The following is a 24637-nucleotide window of genomic DNA, read 5'->3' on the forward strand; positions in this document are numbered from 1 at the left end:
ATATAGACAATAAACACATACAGATAGTGACTCATTTATTAAATCTGTTGCCTCTCTGACACTTGGGGCAGGCTGTTTCTGTAATTTCACCTATCTGAACCCTGCTAAGATGTTTCTGATCATTCAGGTTAAAAAAAAATGAAGAACTGGAGCCAAACACATGTCTTTATAAAGTGAAACGAGATGCACTATCACCAAGCAACCATCAAATGCCAACATTTCTCTCTGTTCTTCCTTGTGTGTGCAGACACAGTGTTCCAGCCATGACAATTACAGTTGAAGCCACAACACAGTTCTTCTAAGAGAAGCTGCCAATACACAACCTCCACTGAAAGGAAAGCCCCAGGTGGCTAAGTTTTATATTCTATGACCCCGTACTTTCCAGTCCTAGCTGATTGGACCAAGATAGATCTTTGAAATCTAACCAAAGAAACTGAGTTCATAGTAAAATGAGTTATTTGTAATGTGGTCTGTTGTGAAAAGATGAAGCAGGGACTATTATGTTTTCTCCTTCAGAAAAGTGAACTGCTATATCTGGAAGAATGAGACAGAAGTAGAGGCTAAATTGATGGGATGCAATGAGATAGAGTTTTATCATATAAAAAGGAAAGTTATAAGTAAGCAGAATCTAAGAGCAAACAAGGTCTACGAAGCACAGAAAAATGAATATAGGATCAAGAATGTGAATAAGCAAGTCTCTAACAAGTGGAGATTTGAACAGGCATCATGAAGTAGCTGGATAGATTAAGAACACAACATCCCATCTGTAGCCCCACTCTATCAAGACCAGAGTGTTCAGTTTGTTCTAGTTTTCTGTGTGCACATATTCCCATGAAAATGATCAAATAACATGTGATGACTTAAGTGAGTCCCTGTTCCTTGTATCCAAAGACAGCCTGTGTTATTTAGGGTTCTCCAGAGAAATCAAATCAATAGGATGAATAGGTATGTAGATAGATGATAGATAGACAGATAGATAGATAGATAGATAGATAGATAGATAGATAGATAGACAGATAGGTAGATAGATACATACACACATACAAATTACAATGAATTGGCTCATACAATTATGGAGGGAGAGAAGTCCCAAGATCTTCAGATGGCAAGCTAGAGAACCAGGAGATTTCATGATACGGTTCAAGCCCAAAGGCAAGAGAAGATTGATGTTCCAGCTCAAGCAGTCAGGCTGAACAATTTCCTCTTACTCAATCTTTTAGTTCTATTCATTTATTCAATTGACTGGATGAGGCACACCCACATTAGGAAGGACAATCCTCTTTCCTAACTCTATCCATTCAAACGTAAATCTCATCCCAATATACCCTCATAGGCACACCCAGAAAAATGTTTGATCTAATGTCTGAGCACCCAGTGGCCTAGTCGAGTTGATACATAAAATTAACTATCACAAGGCCTAACTGAACCACTTCACCTGCTCAATAATTCTGCTACTGGAGAATGACTCACTTGAACTGCCAGTGACTTTTCCAGGTGTTCTGTTAAATTCACGGGAACCATTCTGGCTGATTGGAGGCTGTGCTGCCTTAGGTAGAAAGTGCCTTCAACTTAGATACAGGGCACCTGGACTAATTAATCTTCTTTCACCTCATCCTCTGGTACCCTCTACCCTTCAATTTTCCTCCTGTCTATGTGTACACATTTGGAAACTTCCCTGATACCCATCAGAACTGCTGAAGAAAAGGGAGAAGGAAAAAACAGAATATATTCCACTTGGTTATAAGCTCTCAGGATGCAGATTTAAGTTGTTACTCAAATTCATGTTCATTACCATGAGAGTAATGCAAGAAGAATAAGCTGATTATCTACTTACCGTAGTCCTTTTTTTGTTTGTTTGCTTGTTTGTTTTTTTTTGCTGAATTAGTTTGTTTTCACACTTTTAGCTGCTTTTTTAGGAAAAGTGGCCATTATCAAACCAATCTGGATTATTTTATCTGTTATCATGATCTCTTAGAAATGAAAGAGCCACTAGAGACACAAACTGTGTTCCACAGCACAGTAGTTACAATAAATATTAGTGGGTACTACGAGAGGATTCTCTTTTTTAAATATGTCTAAGAGGTTGCAATGCACTGAAGGATATAAGGGCTTTAGATGTTCTACAGTAAAGAAACCTGTGAAACTTAGCTTAATGTAGTACTCCCCAAGCTTAATCTTATGTGATTAAAGTAGCTTGTTTTCATGGCACTTTTTAAGGTCCTGCAGAATAGGGTCCACATGACATTGGTTTAGAAAACACTGTCATCTGACGTGTTCTTATTAAAATATCTGGCCCTATAACCTGCCCAATTCAAAAATAGCCTATACAACATCAATGACCAAAGGATATTCAGTTGAGACTCTGCTTAACCATATTCCATGACTAGAAAAATATTTATTAGCTCAGGGGACAGCTGGTTCCATGTTTGGAGGGCAAGTGGTGATAAAAGCATAAAAATTGGAGTTAGGAGGCCTGGGCTCTGAAATCCATGGGCCATGAGCCTTTGTCCTATCAGCCTTGGAATCTTTCTGTGTACAATTGAGACACAGGACTAGCTGGATTTCCTAGGCCGACTAAGAATCCCTAAGCCTAGCTGGGAAGGTGACCACATCCACCTTTAAACACGGGGTTTACAACTTAGCTCACACCCAGCCAATCAGAGAGCTCACTAAAATGCTAATTAGGCAAAAACAGGAGGTAAAGAAATAGCCAATCATCTATTGCCTGAGAGCACAGCGGGAGGGACAAGGATTGGGATATAAACCCAGGCATTCGAGCTGGCAACGGCAACCCCCTTTGGGTCTCCTCCCTTTGCATAGGAGCTCTGTTTTCACTCTATTAAGTCTTGCAACTGCACTCTTCTGGTCCGTGTTTCTTACCGCTTGAGCTGAGCTTTCCCTCACTGTCCACCACTGCTGTTTTGCCACCGTCACAGGCCCACCGCTGACTTCCATTCTTCTGGATCTAGCAGGCTGTCCACTGTGCTCCTGATCCAGCGAGGCGCCCATTGCCGCTCCCGATTGGGCTAAAGGCTTGCCATTGTTCCTGCATGGCTACGTGCCTGGGTTCATCCTAATCAAGCCGAACACTAGTCACTGGGTTCCACGGTTCTCTTCCATGACCCACGACTTCTAATAGAACTATAACACTCACCTCATGGCCCAAGATTCCATTCCTTGGAATCCATGAGGCCAAGAACCCCAGGTCAGAGAACACGAGGCTTGCCACCATCTTGGAAGTGGCCCCACCACCATCTTGGGAGCTCTGGGAGCAAGGACCCCCGGTAACATTTTGGCGACCACAAAGGGACATCCAAAGTGGTGAGTAATATTGGACCACTTTCACTTGCTATTCTGTTCTATCCTTCCTTAGAACTGGAGGAAAATACCAGGCACAGGCACCTGTCAGCCAGTTAAAAACAATTAGCGTCGCCGCCACACTTAAGACTCAGGTGTGAGGCTATCTGGGGAAAGACTTTCTAACAACCCCCAACCCATCTAGTGGGGATGTTGGTCTGCCTGGAGACAGCTTCCACTTTCAATTTTCTTGGGGAAGCCGAGGGCTCACTAGAGGCAGACAGCTGTTGTCCCAAACTCCGGGCAGTAGCCGGTTGAGATCATGGTGCAGCCAGGAGTCTCTACTCAGCAGTCGCCGATGCATGTGCCCCTACCTTCCCTTCTGACCCATACATCCTGAGTCCCGACTGTGACTTTCTTGAAAGTGTAGCCCCAAAATTCTCCTTACCTCTGAATCTACTTCCTCTGATCCCTGCCTCCTGGGTACTAATGATTCAGACTTTCATTTCCTCTAGCAAGTTGTGTCTCCAAAGGGATCTAAGGAGGCTCTACGCTGCATCCTTAGGCACCTAGGCTATAACCCAAGGAGTCTTATCCCTGGTGTCCCTCCCGATTTGGGTATACAACTCTCAACATGGGCAGTTATGTAGGACCCATTCCCCACCACACTTGCCAGGGCCCCAAGTTTGTAATGGCTAAGAGAGAGACACAGAGAGAGAGAGAGAGATGGAGAGAGAGACAAGGAGGGAGTCAAAGAGAAAAAGAAAGAAAAAGAAATAGTAGAAAAAAAAGTGTGCCCTATTCCTTTAAAAGCCAGGGTAAATTTAAAACCTGTAATTGATAATTGAAGGTCTTCTCCGTGACCCTGTAACACTCCAATGCCATTTTGTTGTCAGTGTAAATAAGGGCATAGCCCAAAAGCACTGAGGTCACTGACAACCCGTAGCTTTCCCATCAAAAATCCTTAACCCAGTAATCCGCGGATGGGCCAAATGCATTCAGTCGGTAGCAGCAACCGCTTTGCTAAAAGTAGAAAAGTAACTTTTAGAGGAAACCTCATTGTGAGCGCACACCTCACCAGTTCAGAATTATTCTAAGTCAAAAAAAAAAAAAGCAAAAAGGTAACTTACTAACTCAAAAATCTTAAAGTATAGGTCTATCATATTAGAAAAGGGTAATGTAACTCCAACCACTGATAATTCCCTTAACCCAGCAGATTTCCTAACAGGGGATTTAAAACTTAATTACCATACAAAGGTCCCACCAGACCTAGGAGGAACTCCCTTCAGGACAGGACGATAAACGGTTCCTCCCAGGTGATTGAGGAAAAAAACCACAATGGGTATTCAGTAATTGATACAGAGACTCATGTGGAAGCAGTTAGAAAAATTGCCTAATAATTGGTCTCCTCAAACGTGTAAGCTGTTTGCACTCAGCCAAGCCTTAAAGTACTTACAGAATCAAAAAGACTCTGAATCCTGACTCAAAAGGTTTGCTACACCCTCTGTGAAACAAATTTGCATAAGAACTGTTGTTTATGGGAAGGCATCTTGATGGGGCAGCTGGGTTGTTATGAAATACTCAGGACCCCAGCCCGGCTCTAGGACTCACCCCTGAGCGCAAAAGGCAATGTTGGGCACGCTGGTAAAGGACCACTAGAATCCAGCAGCCCGGACCCCTTTCTTTGTGGTCAAGAGAGGCGGGAAAACAGGTGCAGGACTGCTACATCAGTGAGCATAACTAATCCAGTAAGCAGAGGTCCATGGGTGGTTATGCACCCTGGAAAAGAATACGCATTAGGCCCTTAGAGGATGCTCTAGGACTAATGCTCATCGGAAAATGACTAGGGGTGCTGACATCCCTATGTTCTTTTTTCAGATGGGAAACGTTCCTCCCACCCCAAGGCAAAAAACACCCCTAAGATGTATTTTGGAGAATTAGGACCAATTTGACCCTCAGACACTAAGAAAGAAATGACTTACATTCTTCTGCAGTACCATGATATCCTCTTCAAGGGGGAGAAACCTGGCCTCCTGAGAGAAGTATAAATTATAACACCATCTTACAGTGAGACCTCTTCTGTAGAAAGGAGGGCAAATGGAGTGAAGTGCAAACTTTCCTTTCATTAAGAGACAACTCGCAATTATGTAAAAAGTGTGATTTATGCCCTACAGAAAGCCCTCAGTCTACCTCCCTATCCCAGGGTCCCCCCGATTCCTTTCCCAACTAATAAGGACCCCCCTTTTACCCAAATGGTCCAAAGGAGATAGATGAAGGGATAAACAATGAACCAAACAGTGCCAATATTCCCTGATTATGCCCCCTCCAGGCAGTGGGAGGAGGAGAATTCGGCCCAGCCAGAGTGCATGTACCTTTTTTTTTCTCTCAGACTTAAAGCAAATTAAAATAGACCTAGGTAAATTCTCAGATAACCCTGATGGCTATATTGATGTTTTACAAGGGTTAGGACAATCCTTTGCTCTGACATGGAGAGATATAATGTTACTGCTAAATCAGACACTAACCCCAAATGAGAGAAGTGTCACCATAGCTGCAGCCCAAGAGTTTGGCAATCTCTGGTATCTCAGTCAGGTCAATGATAGGATGACAACAGAGGAAAGGGAATGATTCCCCACAGGCCAGCAGGCAGTTCTCAGTGTAGACCCTCACTGGGACACAGAATAAGAACATGGAGATCGGTGCCGCAGATATTTGCTAACTTGCGTGCTAGGACTAAGGAAAACTAGGAAGAAGCCTATGAATTATTCAGTGATGTCCACTATAACACAGGGAAAGGAAGAAAATCATACTGCCTTTCCGGAAATACTAAGGGAGGCATTGAGGAAGCATACCTCTCTGTCACCTGACTGTATTGAAGTCCAACTAATCTTAAAGGATATGTTTATCACTCAGTCAGCTGCAGACATTAGAAAAAACTTCAAAAGTCCACCTTAGGCCCAGAGCAAAACTTAGAAACCCTATTGAACTTGTTAACCTCAGTTTTTTATAATAGAGATCAGGAGGAGCAGGCGGAACAGGACAAACAGGATTAAAAAAAGACCACCGCTTTAGTCATGGCCCTCAGGCAAGTGGACTTTGGAAGCTCTGGAAAAGGGAAAAGCTGGGCAAATTGAATGCCTAATAGGGCTTGCTTCCAGTGTGGTCTACAAGGACACTTAAAAAAAGATTGTCCAAGTAGAAATAAGCTGCCCCTTCGTCCATGCCTCTTATGTCAAGGGAATCACTGGAAGGCCCATTGCCCCAGGGGAGGAAGGTCCTCTGAGTCAGAAGCCACTAACCAGATGATCCAGCAGCAGGACTAAGGGTGCCCAGGGCAAGCCCCAGCCCATGCCATCACCCTCACAGAGCCCCGGGTATGCTTGACCATTGAGGGCCAGGAGGTTAACTGTCTCCTGAACACTGGCACAGCCTTCTCAGTCTTACTTTCCTGTCCCGGACAACTGTCCTCCAGATCTGTCACTATCTGAGCGGTCCTAGGACAGCCAGTCACTAGATATTTCTCCCAGCCACTAAGTTGTGACTGGGGAACTTTACTCTTTTCACATGCTTTTCTAATTATGCCTGAAAGCCCCACTCCTTTGTTAGGGAGAGACATTCTAGCAAAAGCAGGGGCCATTATACATCTGAACATAGGAGAAGGAACACCCGTTTGTTGTCACCTGCTTGAGGAAGGAATTAATGCTGAAGTCTGGGCAACAGAAGGACAATATGGATGAGCAAAGAATGCCCATCCTGTTCAAGTTAAATTAAAGGATTCCGCCTCCTTTCCCTACCAAAGGCAATACCCCCTTAGACCCGAGGCCCAACAAGGACTCCAAAAGATTGTTAAGGACCTAAAAGCCCAAGGCCTAGTAAAACCATGCAATAGCCCCTGCCATACTCCAATTTTAGGAGTAAGGAAACCCAACGGACAGTGGAGGTTAGTGCAAGAACTCAGGATTATCAATGAGGCTGTTGTTCCTCTATACCCAGCTGTACCTAACCCTTATACAGTGCTTTCCCAAATACCAGAGGAAGCAGAGTGGTTTACAGTCCTGGACCTTAAGGATGCCTTTTTCTGCATCCCTGTACGTCCTGACTCTCAATTCTTGTTTGCCTTTGAAGATCCTTTGAACCCAACGTCTCAACTCACCTGGACTGTTTTACCCCAAGGGTTCAAGGATAGCCCCCATCTATTTGGCCAGGCATTAGCCCAAGACTTGAGCCAATTCTCATACCTGGACACTCTTATCCTTCGGTATGGGGATGATTTAATTTTAGCTACCCATTCAGAAACGTTGTGCCATCAAGCCACCCAAGTGCTCTTAAATTTCCTCGCTACCTGTGGCTACAGGTTTCCAAACGAAAGGCTCAGCTCTGCTCACAGCAGGTTAAATACTTAGGGCTAAAATTATCCAAAGGCACCAGGGCCCTCAGTGAGGAACGTATCCAGCCTATACTGGCTTATTCTCATCCCAAAACCCTAAAGCAACTAAGAGCATTCCTTGGCATAACAGGCTGCTGCTGAATATGGATTCCCAGGTACAGTGAAATAGCCAGGCCATTATACACACTAATTAAGGAAACTCAGAAAGCCAATACCCATTTAGTAAGATGGACACCTTAAGCAGAAGCGGCTTTCCAGGCCTTAAAGAAGGCCCTAACCCAAGCCCCAGTGGTAAGCTTGCCAACAGGGCAAGACTTTTCTTTATATGTCACAGAAGAAACAGGAATAGCTCTAGGAGTCCTTACACAGGTCTGAGGGATGAGCTTGCAACCCATGGCATACCTGAGTAAGGAAACTGATGTAGTGGCAAAGGGTTGGCCTCATTGTTTACGGGTAGTGGCAGCAGTAGCAGTCTTAGTATCTGAAGTAGTTAAAATAATACAGGGAAGAGATCTTACTGTGTGAACATCTCATGATGTGAATGGCATAGTCACTGCTAAAGGAGACTTGTGGCTGTCAGACAACTGTTTACTTAAATACCAGGCTCTATTACTTGAAGGGCCAGTGCTGCGACTGTGCACTTGTGCAACTCTTAACCCAGACACATTTCTTCCAGACAATGAAGAAAAGATAGAACATAACTGCCAACAAGTAATTGCTCAAACCTATGCCACTCGAGGGGACCTTTTAGAGGTTCCCTTGACTGATCCCAACCTCAACTTGTATACTGATGGAAGTTCCTCTGTAGAAAAAGGACTTTGAAAAGTGGGGTATGCAGTGGTCAGTGATAATGGAATACTTGAAAGTAATCCCCTCACTCCAGGAACTAGTGCTCAGCTGGCAGAACTAATAGCCCTCACTCGGGCACTAGAATTAGGAGAAGAGAAAAGGGTAAATATATACAGACTCTAAGTATGCTTACCTAGTCCTCCATGCCCATGCAGCAATATGGAGAGAAAGGGAATTCCTAATTTCCAAGGGAACACCTATCCAACATCAGGAAGCCATTAGGAGATTACTATTGGCTGTACAGAAACATAAAGAGGTGGCAATCTTACACTGCCGGTGTCACCAGAAAGGAAAGGAAAGGGAAATAGAAAGGAACCACCAAGCGGATATTGAAGCCAAAAGAGCCGCAAGGCAGGACCCTCCATTAGAAATGCTTATAGAAGGACCCCTAGTATGGGGTAATCCCCTCCAGGAAACCAAGCCCCAGTACTCAGAAGAAGAAATAGAATGAGGAACCTCACAAGCACATAGTTTCCTCCCCTCAGGATGGCTAGCCACTGAAGAAGGAAAAATACTTTTGCCTGCAGCTAACCAATGGAAATTACTTAAAACCCTTCACCAAACATTTCCCTTAGGCATTGATAGCACCCATCAGATGGCCAAATTATTATTTACTGGACCAGGCCTTTTCAAAACTATCAAGCAGATAGTCAGGGCCTGTAAAGTGTGCCAAACAAGTAATCCCCTGCACTGCAGGCCATACATTTCAATCCCTGTATCTTTAACCTCCTTGTTAAGTTTGTCTCTTCCAGAATCAAAGCTGTAAAACTACAAATAGTTCTTCAAATGGAGCCCCAGATGTAGTCCATGACTAAGATCTACCGCGGACCCCTGGACAAGCCTGCTAGCCCATGCTCTGATGTTAATGACATGGAAGGCACCCCTCCCGAGGAAATCGCAACTGCACAACCCCTATTACACCCCAATTCAGCAGGAAGCAGTTAGAGCATTCATCAGCCAACCTCCCCAACAGCACTTGGGTTTTCCTATTGAGAGGGGGTACTGAGAGACAGGACTAGCTGGATGTCCTAGGCTGACTAAGAATCCCTAAGCCTAGCTGGGAAGGTGACCACATCCACCTTTAAATACGGGGCTTGCAACCTAGCTCACACCCAACAGATCAGAGAGCTCGTTAAAATGCTAATTAGGCAAAAACAGGAGGTAAAGAAATAGCCAATCATCTATTGCCTGAGAGCACAGCAGGAGGGACAAGGATTGGGATATAATCCCAGGCATTCGAGCTGGCAACAGCAACCCCCTTTGGGTCCCCTCCCTTTGTATGGGAGCTGTTTTCACTCTATTTCACTCTATTAAATCTTGCAACTGCACTCTTCTGGTGCATGTTTGTTACTGCTTGAGCTGAACTTTCACTCGCCATCTACCACTGCTGTTTTGCCGCCGTCGCAGACCCACTGCTGACTTCCATTCTTCTGGATCCAGCAGGGTGTCCACTGTGCTCCTGATCCAGTGAGGCACCCATTGCCGCTCCCGATCTGGCTAAAGGCTTGCCATTGTTCCTGCATCGCTAAGTGCCTGGGTTCGTCCTAATCAAGCTGAACACTAGTCACTGGGTTCCACAGTTCTCTTCCATGACCCACGACTTCTAATAGAGCTATAACACTCACCTTATGGCCCAAGATTCCATTCCTTGGAATCCATGAGGCCAAAAACCCCAGGTCAGAGAACATGAGACTTGCCACCATGTTGAAGTGGCCTGCTGCCATTTTGGAAGTGGCCCACCACCATCTTGGGAGCTCTGGGAGCAAGGACCCCTGGTAACACAATGGTCATGATGACACTAACCTCAAAGTTTTGTCACTTATTATCTCTATTGATAGTTCACTGTTATGCAAAATTTGCCTCCTATAACTTTATTTTTGTTATCTTTGTCTTCTGAGGACAAACTGAAAATTAAATGAGAATTGTCCCATTTTCACAACCATTTTCTCAGATCACAGTTCCACCGAATTTCTAAAAATTCATTTTTCTGGGATATATCCAGTTTTTTAACCATAGCTTATAAAATGAGAAAACATGATATTTAATTCACTCAAAATCATGTGATTTTTTTTCTGCAGTTACAATTGATTAAGGTTCTTCCTAAATTTTTATTAGAAACTGAGTCCAAAATTTCAGTTATGATTTCACACCAGCAGAAAAGAGTAGCACCCCTACTATGTACCAATTAGTAAAGCTAAGTTTGGGTTTCATGTATTAGCTCTCATGGGCTACTCGGAGATAAATTGATCTTGCAGTCAATTAAAAGCAAAGGATTTTTTGCTAGAAGTGTGCTACCAAGCTGTGTGTCTCTGGCTTGTGCAGTTAACTATTTAAACCTAAAAGCAGTACTTTATACCTTTTAAAGGTCAAATTGCTGGTTTCAATCCGGTGTTCTGGCCTCTCATGTTCTTCTTTGATTCCCGCATAAAAGGCTTGTGTCATCTGCAAAGGTGATGAGCCTTTCTCTCTTACACAGCTTCATGAATGTCTTAGCTGAAAATGTTGACCAGAGGCTCATCAGCAAAGTCAATTCTCTAGCCAGAGCAGTGTCCTCAACTTTCAAACCAGATTATAGTGAGGAAGTTATGCTGTTTGTCACACACAAGAAGAAAGGAAATTGCATACTGCTGCCAATATTGCACTCTTCCTGAAAATAAATAGAAATGGCCTTTCAAGAGCTCCCAAAATGAAGTTTAGGATGTTTTAAAAATTCTTCTTTCAATAGTAGGATGGCAGAAGGAACACCTGAAATATTGCTTGTTTGTATTCTCAGAACTTTTGCTGTTAATTCTAAACAAAATTGGCAGTTATTTGCATAACCTCATATGAAAGGGAATGAAAGGTCTTTATGCCCAAAAACATTTTATTTGCGTATTCATTCATTCAATCAATAAATGATTAAGCAAATATTAAGTTCTTGTTATATTCAGAAAATGTAGTGGATTCTGGACATTCAAAGATAAAGTATTATCCTGCCCTTGGAGCTGAATCACATAAAGGAGGTAATAGAAACTCAAGCAAGTGGAATAAAATGTTAAGGAGTTTTATTACCTACTCAGAATAGTAAGATAGCATGAAAGTAGGATACAATAATACATAGTATATCTATATTAACGTATCTAAATCTAATCTACATATACATACCAAAACAACCATTGGAAAATATTATGGAAGTTCTCTTTTAGAATTTCAACAGATACCTCTGAATAAATAATAATAATCTGATGTATTTCATATTATAAAACTATAAAATATTACTCATATTACACAACTAGTTAGTATAAGGACAAGATTTAGACTTACCTCATCCACTTTCTGAGTCCGTGCACTAAAGCACTATATCAGAGCTCACCTTCTAGAATGGCAAAAATCAAAATGAGTATTAATTCTCAGTGATATTGAGGATATGAGAAAACTCATGTATTGGTAGTGCAAATACAAATTGCTATAAAGAACTGCCTGAGACTGGGTAATTTATAAAGGAAAGAGGATTAATTGACTCATTGTTCAGCATGGCTGGGGAGGTCTCAGGAAACTTACAATTATGGCAGAGGCGAAAGGGTACCAAGGCACCTTCTTCACAAGGCAGCAGGAAGGATAAGTGCTGAGCAAATGGGGAAGAGGTCCTTATAAAACCATCAGATCTTGTGAGAACTTACTATCATGAGAACAGCACAGGGAAACTGTCCGATGATTCAACTACCTCTACCTGGTCTTTCTCTTGACACATGGGGATTATGGGGATTACAATTCAGGATGAGATTTGGGTAGGGACTATATTAGTCTGTTTTCACGCTGCTGATAAAGACATACCAGATACTGGGCAATTTACAAAAAAAAAAAAAAAAAAAAAGAGGTTTAATTGGACTTACAGTTCCACGTGGCTGGGAAGCCTCCCAATCATGGCGGAAGGCAAGGAAGAGCAAGTCACGTCTTACTTGGATGGAAGCAGGCAAAGAGAAAGATCTTGTGCAGGGGAATTTCTCTTTTTAAAACCATCAGATCTAGTGAGACTTATTCACTATCATGAGAACAGCATGGGAAAGACTTGCCCCGTGATTCAGTTACCTCCCACTGGGTCCCTCCACAACACATGGGAATTCAAGATGAGATTTGGGTGGAGACACAGCCAAACCATATCAGGGACACAAAGCCTAACCATATCACCTATAAAAATACAAAATTATGCAAATGTACATGTGCCATGATGTTCTTTGCACTATTATTTATAATAGAAGATTGGCTAAATAAATTTCAATACATCCATGTAGTAGAACACTATGCAATCATTTGAAAAGACAAGTAAAAGGTAAAACTATAGAGACATAAGCAGACCAGCAGTTGCATGGGCTGGGGTGGGAGTGGGCAGTGAAAACAAGAAGGTACAAGGAAAATTTTAGGGGTTGATGGAAATGTCTTAAAATTGAATTGTAGTGATAATTGTACAACTGGAAACATGTACTAAAAACTGATCAAACTACAAAAAACCTGTAAGTCTAGATAATAAATTATCAACAATAGTTACCTCAAGATGTGGGAATTATGAGAAACCTTTCAACGTAAATAATCTGTATTATTTATATATTGCTACATTTTATTTTTGTGGATTACTTTAGTACTCAGAAAAACAGCTCCTAAATAATATCTATCTTAAATCAATAAACAATATCATATAATGATGAAAACCCACTAAACCCACTTTCCCAATTATAATAAAGATGATTACTAACATTACTATTTTTTCAAGTAATGAGGCACAAGTACTAAAAATAACCAAATATAATTACTATTATTGGTAATGATTTGATTGCCTGTATGAGAAACCAAGTGAAAGACTACAAAATGAAATGTAGTCAATAATATGGTTAGTTATGAAATAAATGTTTAGAAATCAGTATTTTTCTATATGTTTACAATAACAAAAGAGAAAATATAACAAGAACTCTTTAGATTAACTCAGTAAGAAAGGTATACAACCTATACAAGGAAAACCACAGACTTCCCTGAGGGTAACAAAAGCATAGAATAAATGCTATTTTTTTAGTTAAGATGATATTTTAAAGAGGTGAGTTATATACACATTGATCTACAAATGTAGTGAAATTTCAATACATGTTTGTGTTTCATTTGTAAATTTTTAAAAATTTTAAAGAGTGACCACATAAAAATAAGACTTTTCTAGAATTATAACAATGAGGGATAATTAGGTATTTGATATTAAAATTTATTTTATAGTCACTATAATTTAAGAGTAGCATTGTCATTTGAATACGACAGACCAAAAGAACAAAACATATCCCCTCACATATATAAAAGAAGAAATTATATGATAAAGACAATACTATTTCAAATTAGAGAGAAAAGCAAGAATTAATAGATAAATACTATTGGACGCAGCTGCAGCTCACAAGTTCAAAAATAAATTAGATTCCTACTTCTCACTTTATCCCCAAGACAAAAGTGATATGTGCATTTAAAACAACAGTCCAAGATTCCTAAGGAAAGGCCTTTCTGTTTAAAAAAATACAAATTCACTGATAATAGTCTGTGAGCATTGTGGTTTCCAATGTCATTAGTATCTAACCTAAACATGAGATCAAAAAGACAATAAAAGAAGAAACATCCAGACCTTAGAGAGAAAAATTATTTCAACTGTCCCCAGCACTGTGAGTATTTAAGAAAAAAAATGGATTTTTCAGACAGATTTTCACTAAAATCCTGGCCCTACCACTTACTAAGCAATTACTTAGTCTCTCTCTTTGCCTCAGTTTCCTTTTGAGTAAAGTAAAATAAATAATATATACCAAATTAGATATGATAGTTAAATGAAATAATTTATGCAAAGTACTTTACTGGCAGTTAGATCTTAAATTAATGTTACCCTTACCTATCTGTAATAGTCTGCTTGGGCTGCCATAACAAAATACCATAGACTGAGTGGCTTAAACAACATAAATTTATGTTCTTATAGTTCTGGTGTCTGGAAAGTTTAAGATCAAAATGCTGGCCCATTCAGTTCTGGGGAGGGCTTTTCTTTTGGCTTGCAGACAACCTCCATTTTTCTGTCTTCACATAGTAGAGACAGAGAGAGTGCAAGCTCTCTGTTGTCTCTTATCATAAGGGCACTAATCCCACCATGAGGGCCCCACCCTTGCAGCCTCATCTAACCCTGATTACCTCCCAAAAGCCCCATCTCCAAATGCCATCAAGCTGGGAATTAGGACTTCAATATATGAATTTTTGGCAGGAGGGATACTAACATCCAGTCCATCATACTGTTCCACTCTCTTTCTTCTCCAAATACTTGCAGAACAAGAAATGCTAATGGCTAGCTTCCTTAACTATTATTTTCCCTGTATGTCCTTAAAATTTAGATAGATAAGAGCATTCATCAAAACAGTTACTGATTTATTCAACAAACAGTTCATAAGCACCTACAATTTTCCAAGGATTGTGCTAGGTGCTGGAATTATACAAATTAGTTAATCAGACATGGTTCTAGCCTTCAACAACCAACTTCAGATCATGTTTTATTTCTTCCTTAAAAACCACTATTTCCCTCCCTCTGTAGGGCTCTATTAATGTTAAGAGTTTTCCTATTTATTCAGTCATTTTCTTCTTGGAAAAAGCAGCACAGGTAGGCATGGGCCATTATTATCTCCATTGAATACATGAGAAAAAATAGGTGCATAGAATTTAAGGACAGGCCATAATATTCATAGATGCTTGGCACTAGAGAAGATGAAATGAAGAAGAGTTACTTTCAAAGTCTATGTCTTTGAATGTCTTTGCTTTCTTCTCAGTCTACATTCTTTAAAGAAGCAAGCCTGTTTGGACTCCTGACAACATTGAAGTACAATGTCTTTTCAAAAATATTTACTAAAATAATTTCTCCATTTAACCTACAGAACAGCCTCATGAGCAAGAGGTACCTCTCTTCTTCAGCAGTTTCGTAAAATTGAAGTGAGGAAAAGGTCATAATATCAATTTCAACAGGACTTAAGTTGAAAAACAGTATTTTATCAGTATCTGGTGATGCCACAAAGAAACATATGGCCATGTTCCTTTTCAAAGGAAAGGTTTTCATTTATGTTGTTTATAATGCAGCACACAAAAAAATAGGAAAATTCCAAGCAATAGTTATTGAAGTAATTATCATTGATCATTTCAGATAATGAAACTAAAGTTTAAACCATCAAGTGTCTTATATAAGGTACCACACAGTTGGAGTTTGTGTACACTTATCTAATGTTCCTTTTATTTTTCATAAAAATGATACTAACACATGGCAAAACATTTTTCTTTTAAAAGTAAAAAAAAAAAAAAAGTTGTTTCATCTCTCTCTGCAATGTTAGCCCAAGTCCTACCTCCACTACCCAGAAGTAACCAGCCTTGTCTGGTCCTTGTGAAAAATCAGGCACCTAACATTGATGTGTATAAATACCCCTTTTAAACATATAAATGAGATTATCATAAAAATAATATTTTGCAGCCTTCTAGTATCAGTAGCAATATACTTTGGACAGTTTTCTAGAACAGCATATGTAGTTCTACCTCATTCTTTTTAATGACATATCAATTTCATAAGGGCCAAATTCTCATTTTTTTCCTGGCTCTTGGTAACCGCTGTCCTTTCTACCAAGCCAAGTAACTCTCTTCCTTAGTAGATACAAAAACTTGAATTGAAAATAAGGTCATAATGGCAATTTCAACCGGACTTAACTTGAAGAACAGTATTTTATCGGTACCCAGCCATGCCATAGACTTTTTTTCAAAGGAAAGGGGTTTCCTTCCAGGCAGTTTGTGCTGCAACACACCAGAAATAGGACAATTCCAGGCAACGTCCTCTCTCTTTCATACACACACAACACAAGTCAAAGACCTAAACTGTTAACTGGCTGTATCAACCCAACACAAGCTTCAAGTAAATTTTTCTCAGACCTTGCACCTCAAGAAAAATACCCTCAAATTCACAATAATAAAAAGAAAAAGCAAAAAAATTACATTTTCTTTACACTAAAGATAGAAAGATCAATCTGCTAGTGATAATACTGAGCTGTTATTTTGACAAATACAGACTTTAAAAGATAATTTCCCAACATTCAACTGTAGCCGGAGATAACAGAACTAAAATCCTTTCCCTAAACTCAGCAAGGTCCCTAAAATGCTGCCTAGTTAGATTCAAAGAAAAAGGTTTCAATAAAAGTGAGACCAGTAAAGACAGACTGAACCCCAGAATGCTCAGAAACATGCAACTCAGTAGATTTGCAGGAAAAGAAACCTCACTTAGGTAAAAAGATTAAAACTCCTATTTAGCAAACATTGGCTTTACTAGTACAAAATCCTTAGTAATCATTTCCCCTAATCAAATGGATGTCCTGTTGCTGTGTAATCAATGATAATGGATGTATTCTGCAAACTGCAGTGTTTAGAAGCCTTTTCAAAGCAGGGAAGCCACACTGTCCTTTGCAGCCTCTCAGAGGAAAGCAGAGATAAAGAAAATGGCCATCTTCCTGACTCCAGGCTCTAAAGGCCAACAAAGCTCATTAGCTATTTATCTGTGTGCACAGAGTCACATTAATCATGAGATACCATTCTACAAACATCACCCAAAGGGAGACATGCTGGGAAAGAAAAATCAGTTGAGAAAGCCAGACATTCAAACTTAAGACAGCATCAGAGCCAAAAGGAAAAAATTATGGGTGTAATTCATTTAGGTGTCACATTTTTATTAATTGCCTTTGCTATACCAGGCGCTACCTGTACTAAGGATATGAGTATAATAAAATTTAATCTTCACACCCAAAGATCTCCCAGTATAGAATGGGATGCAGAAATGTAAATAATTACAATTCAATGTTATAAATTCCATGACAAAGATAAGCCATAGAGTTATGGGAGGATAAAACAGGCACCTCTAATCCTACATGACTCAGGATAAGCACATAGAGAAACTATTTTTAAATCCTTACTGGTAAACTGATCACCATGGTTTGCTTAGAAGGGGAAATATGTGACCAAAAGACAGAATTGGAGGGAGACTTATTTTCAACGTGTACATGCATTTTTGCAACTTTTGAAATGTGTACCCTTCACATACATCACCTATTCACAAATTAATTAATTAATTTTATATCAAATGGTGATTAAAATTGATTAAAAAAATTAATCCTTGTCCAGAGTGAAAAAGCAATAACTGTCTAATATCTGCTTATTCATAGTCGAGAAAAATAAGAATGCATTAGTACCCATGAATAAATAACAATGCATTTGAATTTTTATAAGCAAGTTTGAAATTCAAAAACCTTGCATCTTACAACAGGACACCAGGTTTCCATGCAATCAAGTCATGGACAAATATAATACACTGCTGGTCATAGCGTAAGTTGATATAACCACTCAATAAAACAGTTGACTTTATCTAGCAAAGTTTAAGATATGCATAACTTAAGACCCAATTCTCATCCTAGATATACACTATAGTGGTTCTCAATCTTTAATATGCATCACAAGCATCTGGAAGGCTACTTAAAACACAGATTGCTTGGCCCCACCTCCAGTGTTTCCAATGGAGTAGGTCTGGGGTGGGACCTGAGAATTTTCATTGCTAAGTTCCCAGGTGATATGAATGTTGTAGATTCAGATGCCACACTTTAAGAACCACTGCTCTAGAGTAACTTATACACACATGCATCAGGACACATGAAAAAGGATGTGCACAGCAGCATTTTTCATAATGCCCCAAACTGTAGACAACCAAAATTACTATCAATAGAATAATGCTCAAGTTGTGCTGAAATCATGCAATGGATTACCATACAGCAAAGAATATAAATTACAGCTGCAGGCAATAATAGGAATGATTCTCAAAAATATAATACAGTGCAAAAAGATGTAAGACACAGCATATTCAGTGTGACTTGATTTGTATAATGTCTCAAAATAGGCAAAATTAAACTCTATCATTTACAAACATAAATAATAAAACTATAATGCCAACCAAGTAAGTGATTATCACAAAGCTGACAATGCAATCCACTATGTCTTCATTTGGATAATGGTTATCCCAGTGTTAGGTTGATAATTATTTGTTAAATTGCACATATAAGTTTAATGCACTTTTCTGTCAGAATGCTATATTTACAATAAAAGTATGGAAAATGTATTCAAAGTGGAGAGATAATTAAAAATGGATGACTCAGAAAATGCTTCACAAAGATGCTAAGACGGAAGCTCTAGTGAAGGAAGTTTAAATCCTTTCAATGAAAAGAACACTAGATTTGATATTTAAAAATAGAGTTGTTAAAGAATTTCTAAAATCCTTATTCAGTTAATAAGGTAATTTTTTAATTACCCCAATTTTATAAAATTCAATGGAAGGTTTAATAAACATGTATCAATTCCATCCCACTACCAACTCAATACATACAAATTTTTAAAATAATCTATTTTATTACTGATTTTTGCATTAAAAAAGGTTTGATTTATTATTACTAAATATGTTTTAATCCTAGAATTAGACTATTTTCTGTGTTGGGTAGGTTCTAGGTGTCAGATTGCAAATGGGAACATTATTTCTGGGATTGAGTCTTCTCAGAAAATAGTTACATTATCAACTAACGTTTTGTGATCCAACTTTTCTCAACACATCATCCTCTCTTCTTCCCCAGAAATTAGATAAGAACTCTTTTCCTTCTCAACACAGAATCATCACTTTAATCCATAAGAAGTTAAAGGTTTCTCCAAATATTTACCTCTTCAGTCAAAATTTTTGGGTGAATCAAAACACATCCCTTATATTTCTGTTTCATTTTGCTGAGTCATTTCCATTCTGCTTTCAGGACACCATCCTAAAATAAGAATTGCTTTTCCTTTTGACTCATGTATCTACAGAACGATGCCTTTGTTATTTCTAAAGTTAATAATTACCTCATTTTTCTAAAGGCTGAGAGGGTGAACCGCACAACCGTTCTTCCACCATTCTCCAGTCTGCTCCTCCAAAAAAACTGTAAGTTGACCAGGAATCTAACAAAACTTCAGTCGTCAGTACATCTCCTCTCCTTAGGTGAGCTCCCACAAACCCACAATTATATCCCCCAGTTTGGATAGAAGAAAAATGATGATGATCATTTACATATCTAACTGAAAGTAGAAAGGCACTTAGTAATGTGTTCAGGAAAATAACATTTGTGGCAGTCAATTACAGAATATAGTGATGTCTTGTAACTCCCTCACCCTACCCCCGACACATACACCAGATATCTCTATGTGTTAGCCCCACAAAATAAAAATTTCTGTCTCTCCTATCTCTTTCTCATGTTTGCTTTCTTCCTTTACTCTGGATCGTTTTCTCCAAAACAACAAAAATATCACTTATATTCTTTACCCCTTCTCCACCATAAAGCTTCTCTTAAACTACTTCACATCCAGTGCTGTTGACTTCTCTAAAATCCACCCCCAACTCAGCCTCCCTCACTCTCTGTGAAACTGTGTCTCCCTTCTCTGTTCCCACAGCTCCCCACCCAAGTGTCTCTTACAATACCTTTCCATGTATTGCAATGACTTAATTATGTGCCTGTGGCTCCTAATGCTCCTTGAGGGAGTGATCATGTTTATTTTATCTCCAAATCTACACTTTACGTCATAACTGGTACTCAACAAATATGGCATTGAACTGAACTCTCCTTAACTTTTTCACCTTCATACAATCTTCTGAGAAAGGTAAGTGCGGACAGCAGACCTACTACATGTAAGGTACTTTGTTAGAGGCCTGGGGGATGCCTTCATGGAGACTTACAATCAAAATCACCACTAAATGAAGTCCAATTTAAGTGATGAAAAGCTTTATAAATGCTCTAATGGAATTATGTACAAGAATGCAGAAGAGAGAAAAGCCTTTCTAAGTAATGAGCAGAATAGGATGGGGAAGGAAGTCTCCAAGCAGAAAGTGGTACTCCACAAATGGCATTCTGACCTTCAGTCTTATTATCAAGGTATGAATTGCTTGGAATTATTTTGTATTTCTCACTTAATCCCTTATGGCCAATTGAAAACTCCCAAACATTCCACTTTTGGTAATGGCCCCAAAAATCCATCATCTCTTTTGCAATTCCACTCCTACTGCCTCATTCATTACTTCTAACATGAAATGAAAAACTGTAATAACATTTTAACTAACCTCTTCCGTCTTTCTTTGCCCCATCAATATATACTATGCATTCTTTCAGAATTAATCCCAATGTGGAATGTTAATCCTATCACTTCTCTGTACAAAAGCCTTTAATGACTCTCATTAGCTACTGAATTAATTTCTAGTTCTTCAGATCCAAGGCACAGCACAATGTGGCCAAAACCAATAATTGTAGCCTTATCTCCAGCCATTCCCTTACTTTGGCTCTGTGCTTTGGCCGATCTTGTCCATTCAGCATTCCCGAACATTCTTCCATCTTTCTGCTGCCTATTTCATTTCTCTTCTACTTGCTGTGCCTTCCCTGCTCATTTCCATTAGTCAAAATTCCAACCAGTTTCTAGAAATGGCTCAAGTGACTCAAGTGTCACTTGGTTGATAAAGCTTCTATTGTTGGCTATTCTCCCTGAAAAGCAGTGTGATCTCTGCCATACTAAACACCCGGTGTCATCCTTTATAGCGTGTATTGTTTTCATAGCCCCTGTGGGCGCAAATTCAGAGAGCTAGATAAAGTCTCTCACACTCTACAAATTAGACCTCCTTCCCCAATCCTACCTCCCCATTATGTCTGGAATTGCTATAACAGAGAATAAAATTTTTACTTGAGAATGAAGCACTTCATTTTTCTTGGAACTCCTGAAGCCCCTGGTACAGGGACTGGCCCTGAGAGGCATCAATTAGGTATCTGAAATGGATGTTAAACCAGAAACACATGCACATGCTCAGATGAAAACATGCAAAGCTAGGCCGAGCATGGTGGCTCACACCTGTAAGTCCAGCACTTTGGGAGGCCAAGACAGTAGAATCGCTTGAGCCCAGAAGTTCAAGACCAGCCTGGGCAACATGGTGAAACACCATCTCTACAAAAAGTACAAAAGTTGGCTGGGTGTGGTGGCGCATGACTGTAGTCCCACTGAGGTGGGACGATCACTTGAGCCTGGGAGGCAGAGGCTGCAGTGAGATGAGATTGTGCCACTGTACTCCAGCCTGGATGACAGAGCAAGATCCTGTGTCAAAAAAAATTAAGCTAAGATAAACCTTTTACATTGTCATTTTAAGGTCATAATGACAACATCAGTAGGGAGATAGGATTTGGCTATATACATCTTTGATCCCCACAGTGCCCTATGCCAAATTGGCCACAAAAAGCTCCTGTCGAGGGAAAGGACACGGACCAACACTTCGTCATTAAAGACAAATTAGGTTGGCAGGCAAGAATTCTCTTGACTTTTGGCAAGCTCTAAGAAATATCAAAGATACCAAAGTCTAGCCTCCTGAGAGGTAGCAGCTAGGACCAGAGTGCAGAGTGGAGGACAGAGAAACTAAGGATTCTAGGCCTCCGCATTTCCTCTGGTGAGGCTGTGAGTAAGGGTGGCTGTCACTGTCAATCACACCTTACCAGACACACGACGTCAGAAACAAACTGAAAAATATAGAAGTCTTGGACCCCTTTCAAACCAATATTTCTTTCCTATGTGTTTAATATTTTTCTAGTGGGAACAAAGCAACAACGCATTTTGTACTACTAAGAACTATATGTAGAAACAGATTTAATTATTCATCCACTTCTAATGTCTGAAGAATATTTAATTTCTGAAAAATATTATCAAAACAGTACCTTCACTTTCTTGCAGTTCATGTCCTTGTAATTTTTTAAACCAGACACATCTTCAGAATCTTATTAAAGGTGTGGAATTTAGATAACACAGTAAGTCATTAATTCCCAATAAACAGAAGCATAGCCTGCATTATTGGCTTTCAAAACTCCAGCTGACTCGGAATGCCAAAGATGAATGCACGTGCATGTTGCACAACAATCAATGTGCTATTACCCCTTCTCCTACTTAAAGAGCGCAAGAAAATTTCCACTGGATAGCATTTTTAATGTAAATGGGAGTGAGAAGAATTTACATTCAGCCCTTTTATTCTAGTGATGTTGAGCATTCTGTGTCTTATACACTAGTGCTCCAGAAAACTGCCCAGCTGATCTTCCCCATTAATGGGAGCACCTAAGCAGATATGAGTTGCTCTGTGTGTAGGCATTGAAGCCTCTCTCCTCTCCTCAGCTCTTTTCTAATCTCTCTATAAAGTAAAAAATTTGTTCCTTGTTACAACAATTTCATTCACCAATAGACTGTTAGGTACTGGGGAGGCCCTACATAACCTGTGCTCATCACTGCACTAATGCACGAGGCCAAGATAAGCCTAATGTTATGGAAACTCCTTTTTTAATATTTCTACATCTGTTCACATATATACATCATTGATTTAAAAAACCACATATGTTGGAGAAAGGATAGAAATTATTTTGAAATGCCAGGACTTCCTGTCCAAGATATTAGATGTGCTATAAAGCCATCATTGTGTATTACAGAATGTCACAAAGTTATAATCCCAATCTAGTAAAGCTTTCTCATTTTATAGATTTAAAAAATCAAGTTTCATCTCTTACTTCCTTGAGCAGTGGTTTGTAGTTCTTCTTGAAGAGGTCCTTCACATCCCTTGTAAGTTGTATTCCTAGGTATTTTATTCTCTTTGTAGCAAATGTGAATGGGAGTTCACTCAAGATTTGGCTCTCTGTTTGTCTGTTATTGGTGTATAGGAATGCTTGTGATTTTTGTACATTGATTTTGTATCCTGAGACTTTGCTTAAATTGCCTATCAGCTTAAGAAGATTTTGGGCTGAGAAAATGGGGTTTTCTAAATATACAATCATGTAATCTGAAAACAGAGACGATTTGACTTCCTTTCTTCCTATTTGAATACCCTTTATTTCTTTCTCTTGCCTGATTGCCCTGGCCAGAACTTCCAATACTATGTTGAATAGGAGTGGTGAGAGAGAGCATCCTTGTCTTGTGCCAGTTTTCAGAGGGAATGCTTCCAGCTTTTGCCCATTCAGTATGATATTGGCTGTGGGTTTGTCATAAATAGCTCTTAGTATTTTGAGATAAACTCCATCAATACCTAGTTTATTGAGAGTTTTTAGCATGAAGGGGTGTTGAATTTTATCAAAGGCCTTTTCTGCATCTATTGAGATGATCATGTGGTTTTTGTCATTGGTTCTGTTTATGTGATGGGTTATGTTTATTGATTTGTGTATGTTGAACCAGCCTTGCATCCCAGGGATGAAGCCAGCTTGATCGTGGTGGATAAGCTCTTCGAAGTGCTGCTGGATTCGGTTTGCCAGTATTTTATTGAGGATTTTTGCATCAATATTCATCAGGGATATTGGCCTGAAATTTTCGTTTTTTGTTGTGTCTCTGCCAGGTTTTGGTATCAGGATGATGCTGGCCTCATAAAATGAGTTAAGGAGGAGTCCCTCTTTTTCTATTGTTTGGAATGGTTTCAGGAGGAATGGTACCAGCTCTTCTCAGTACCTCTGGTAGAATTCGGCTGTGAATCTGGTCCTTGGCTTTTTTTGGTTAGTAGGCTATTAATTATTGCCTCAATTTCAGAACTTGTTATTGGTCTATTCAGGGATTTGACTTCTTCCTGGTTTAGTCATGGGAGGGTGTATGTGTTCAGGAATTTATCCATATCTTCTAGATTTTCTAGTTTGTTTGCGTAGAGGTGTTTATAGTATTCTCTGATGGTAGTTTGTATTTCTGTGGGATCAGTGGTGATATCCCCTTTATCACTTTTATTGTGTCTATTTGATTCTTCTCTCTTTTCTTCTTTATTAGTCTGGCTAGTGGTCTATCTATTTTGTTAATCTTTTCAGAAAACCAGCTCCTGGTTTCCTTGATTTTTTGAAGGGTTTTTCGTGCCTCTATCTCCTTCAGTTCTGCTATGATTTTAGTTATTTCTTGTCTTCTGCTAGCTTTTGAATTTGTTTGCTCTTGCTTCTCTAGTTCTTTTAATTGTGATGTTAGGGTGTTGATTTTAGATCATTCCCACTTTCTCCTGTGGGCATTTAG

Source organism: Homo sapiens, chromosome 2 (genome assembly GCF_000001405.40).
Source record: "Homo sapiens chromosome 2, GRCh38.p14 Primary Assembly".
NCBI classification, from domain to species: Eukaryota; Metazoa; Chordata; class Mammalia; order Primates; family Hominidae; genus Homo; species Homo sapiens.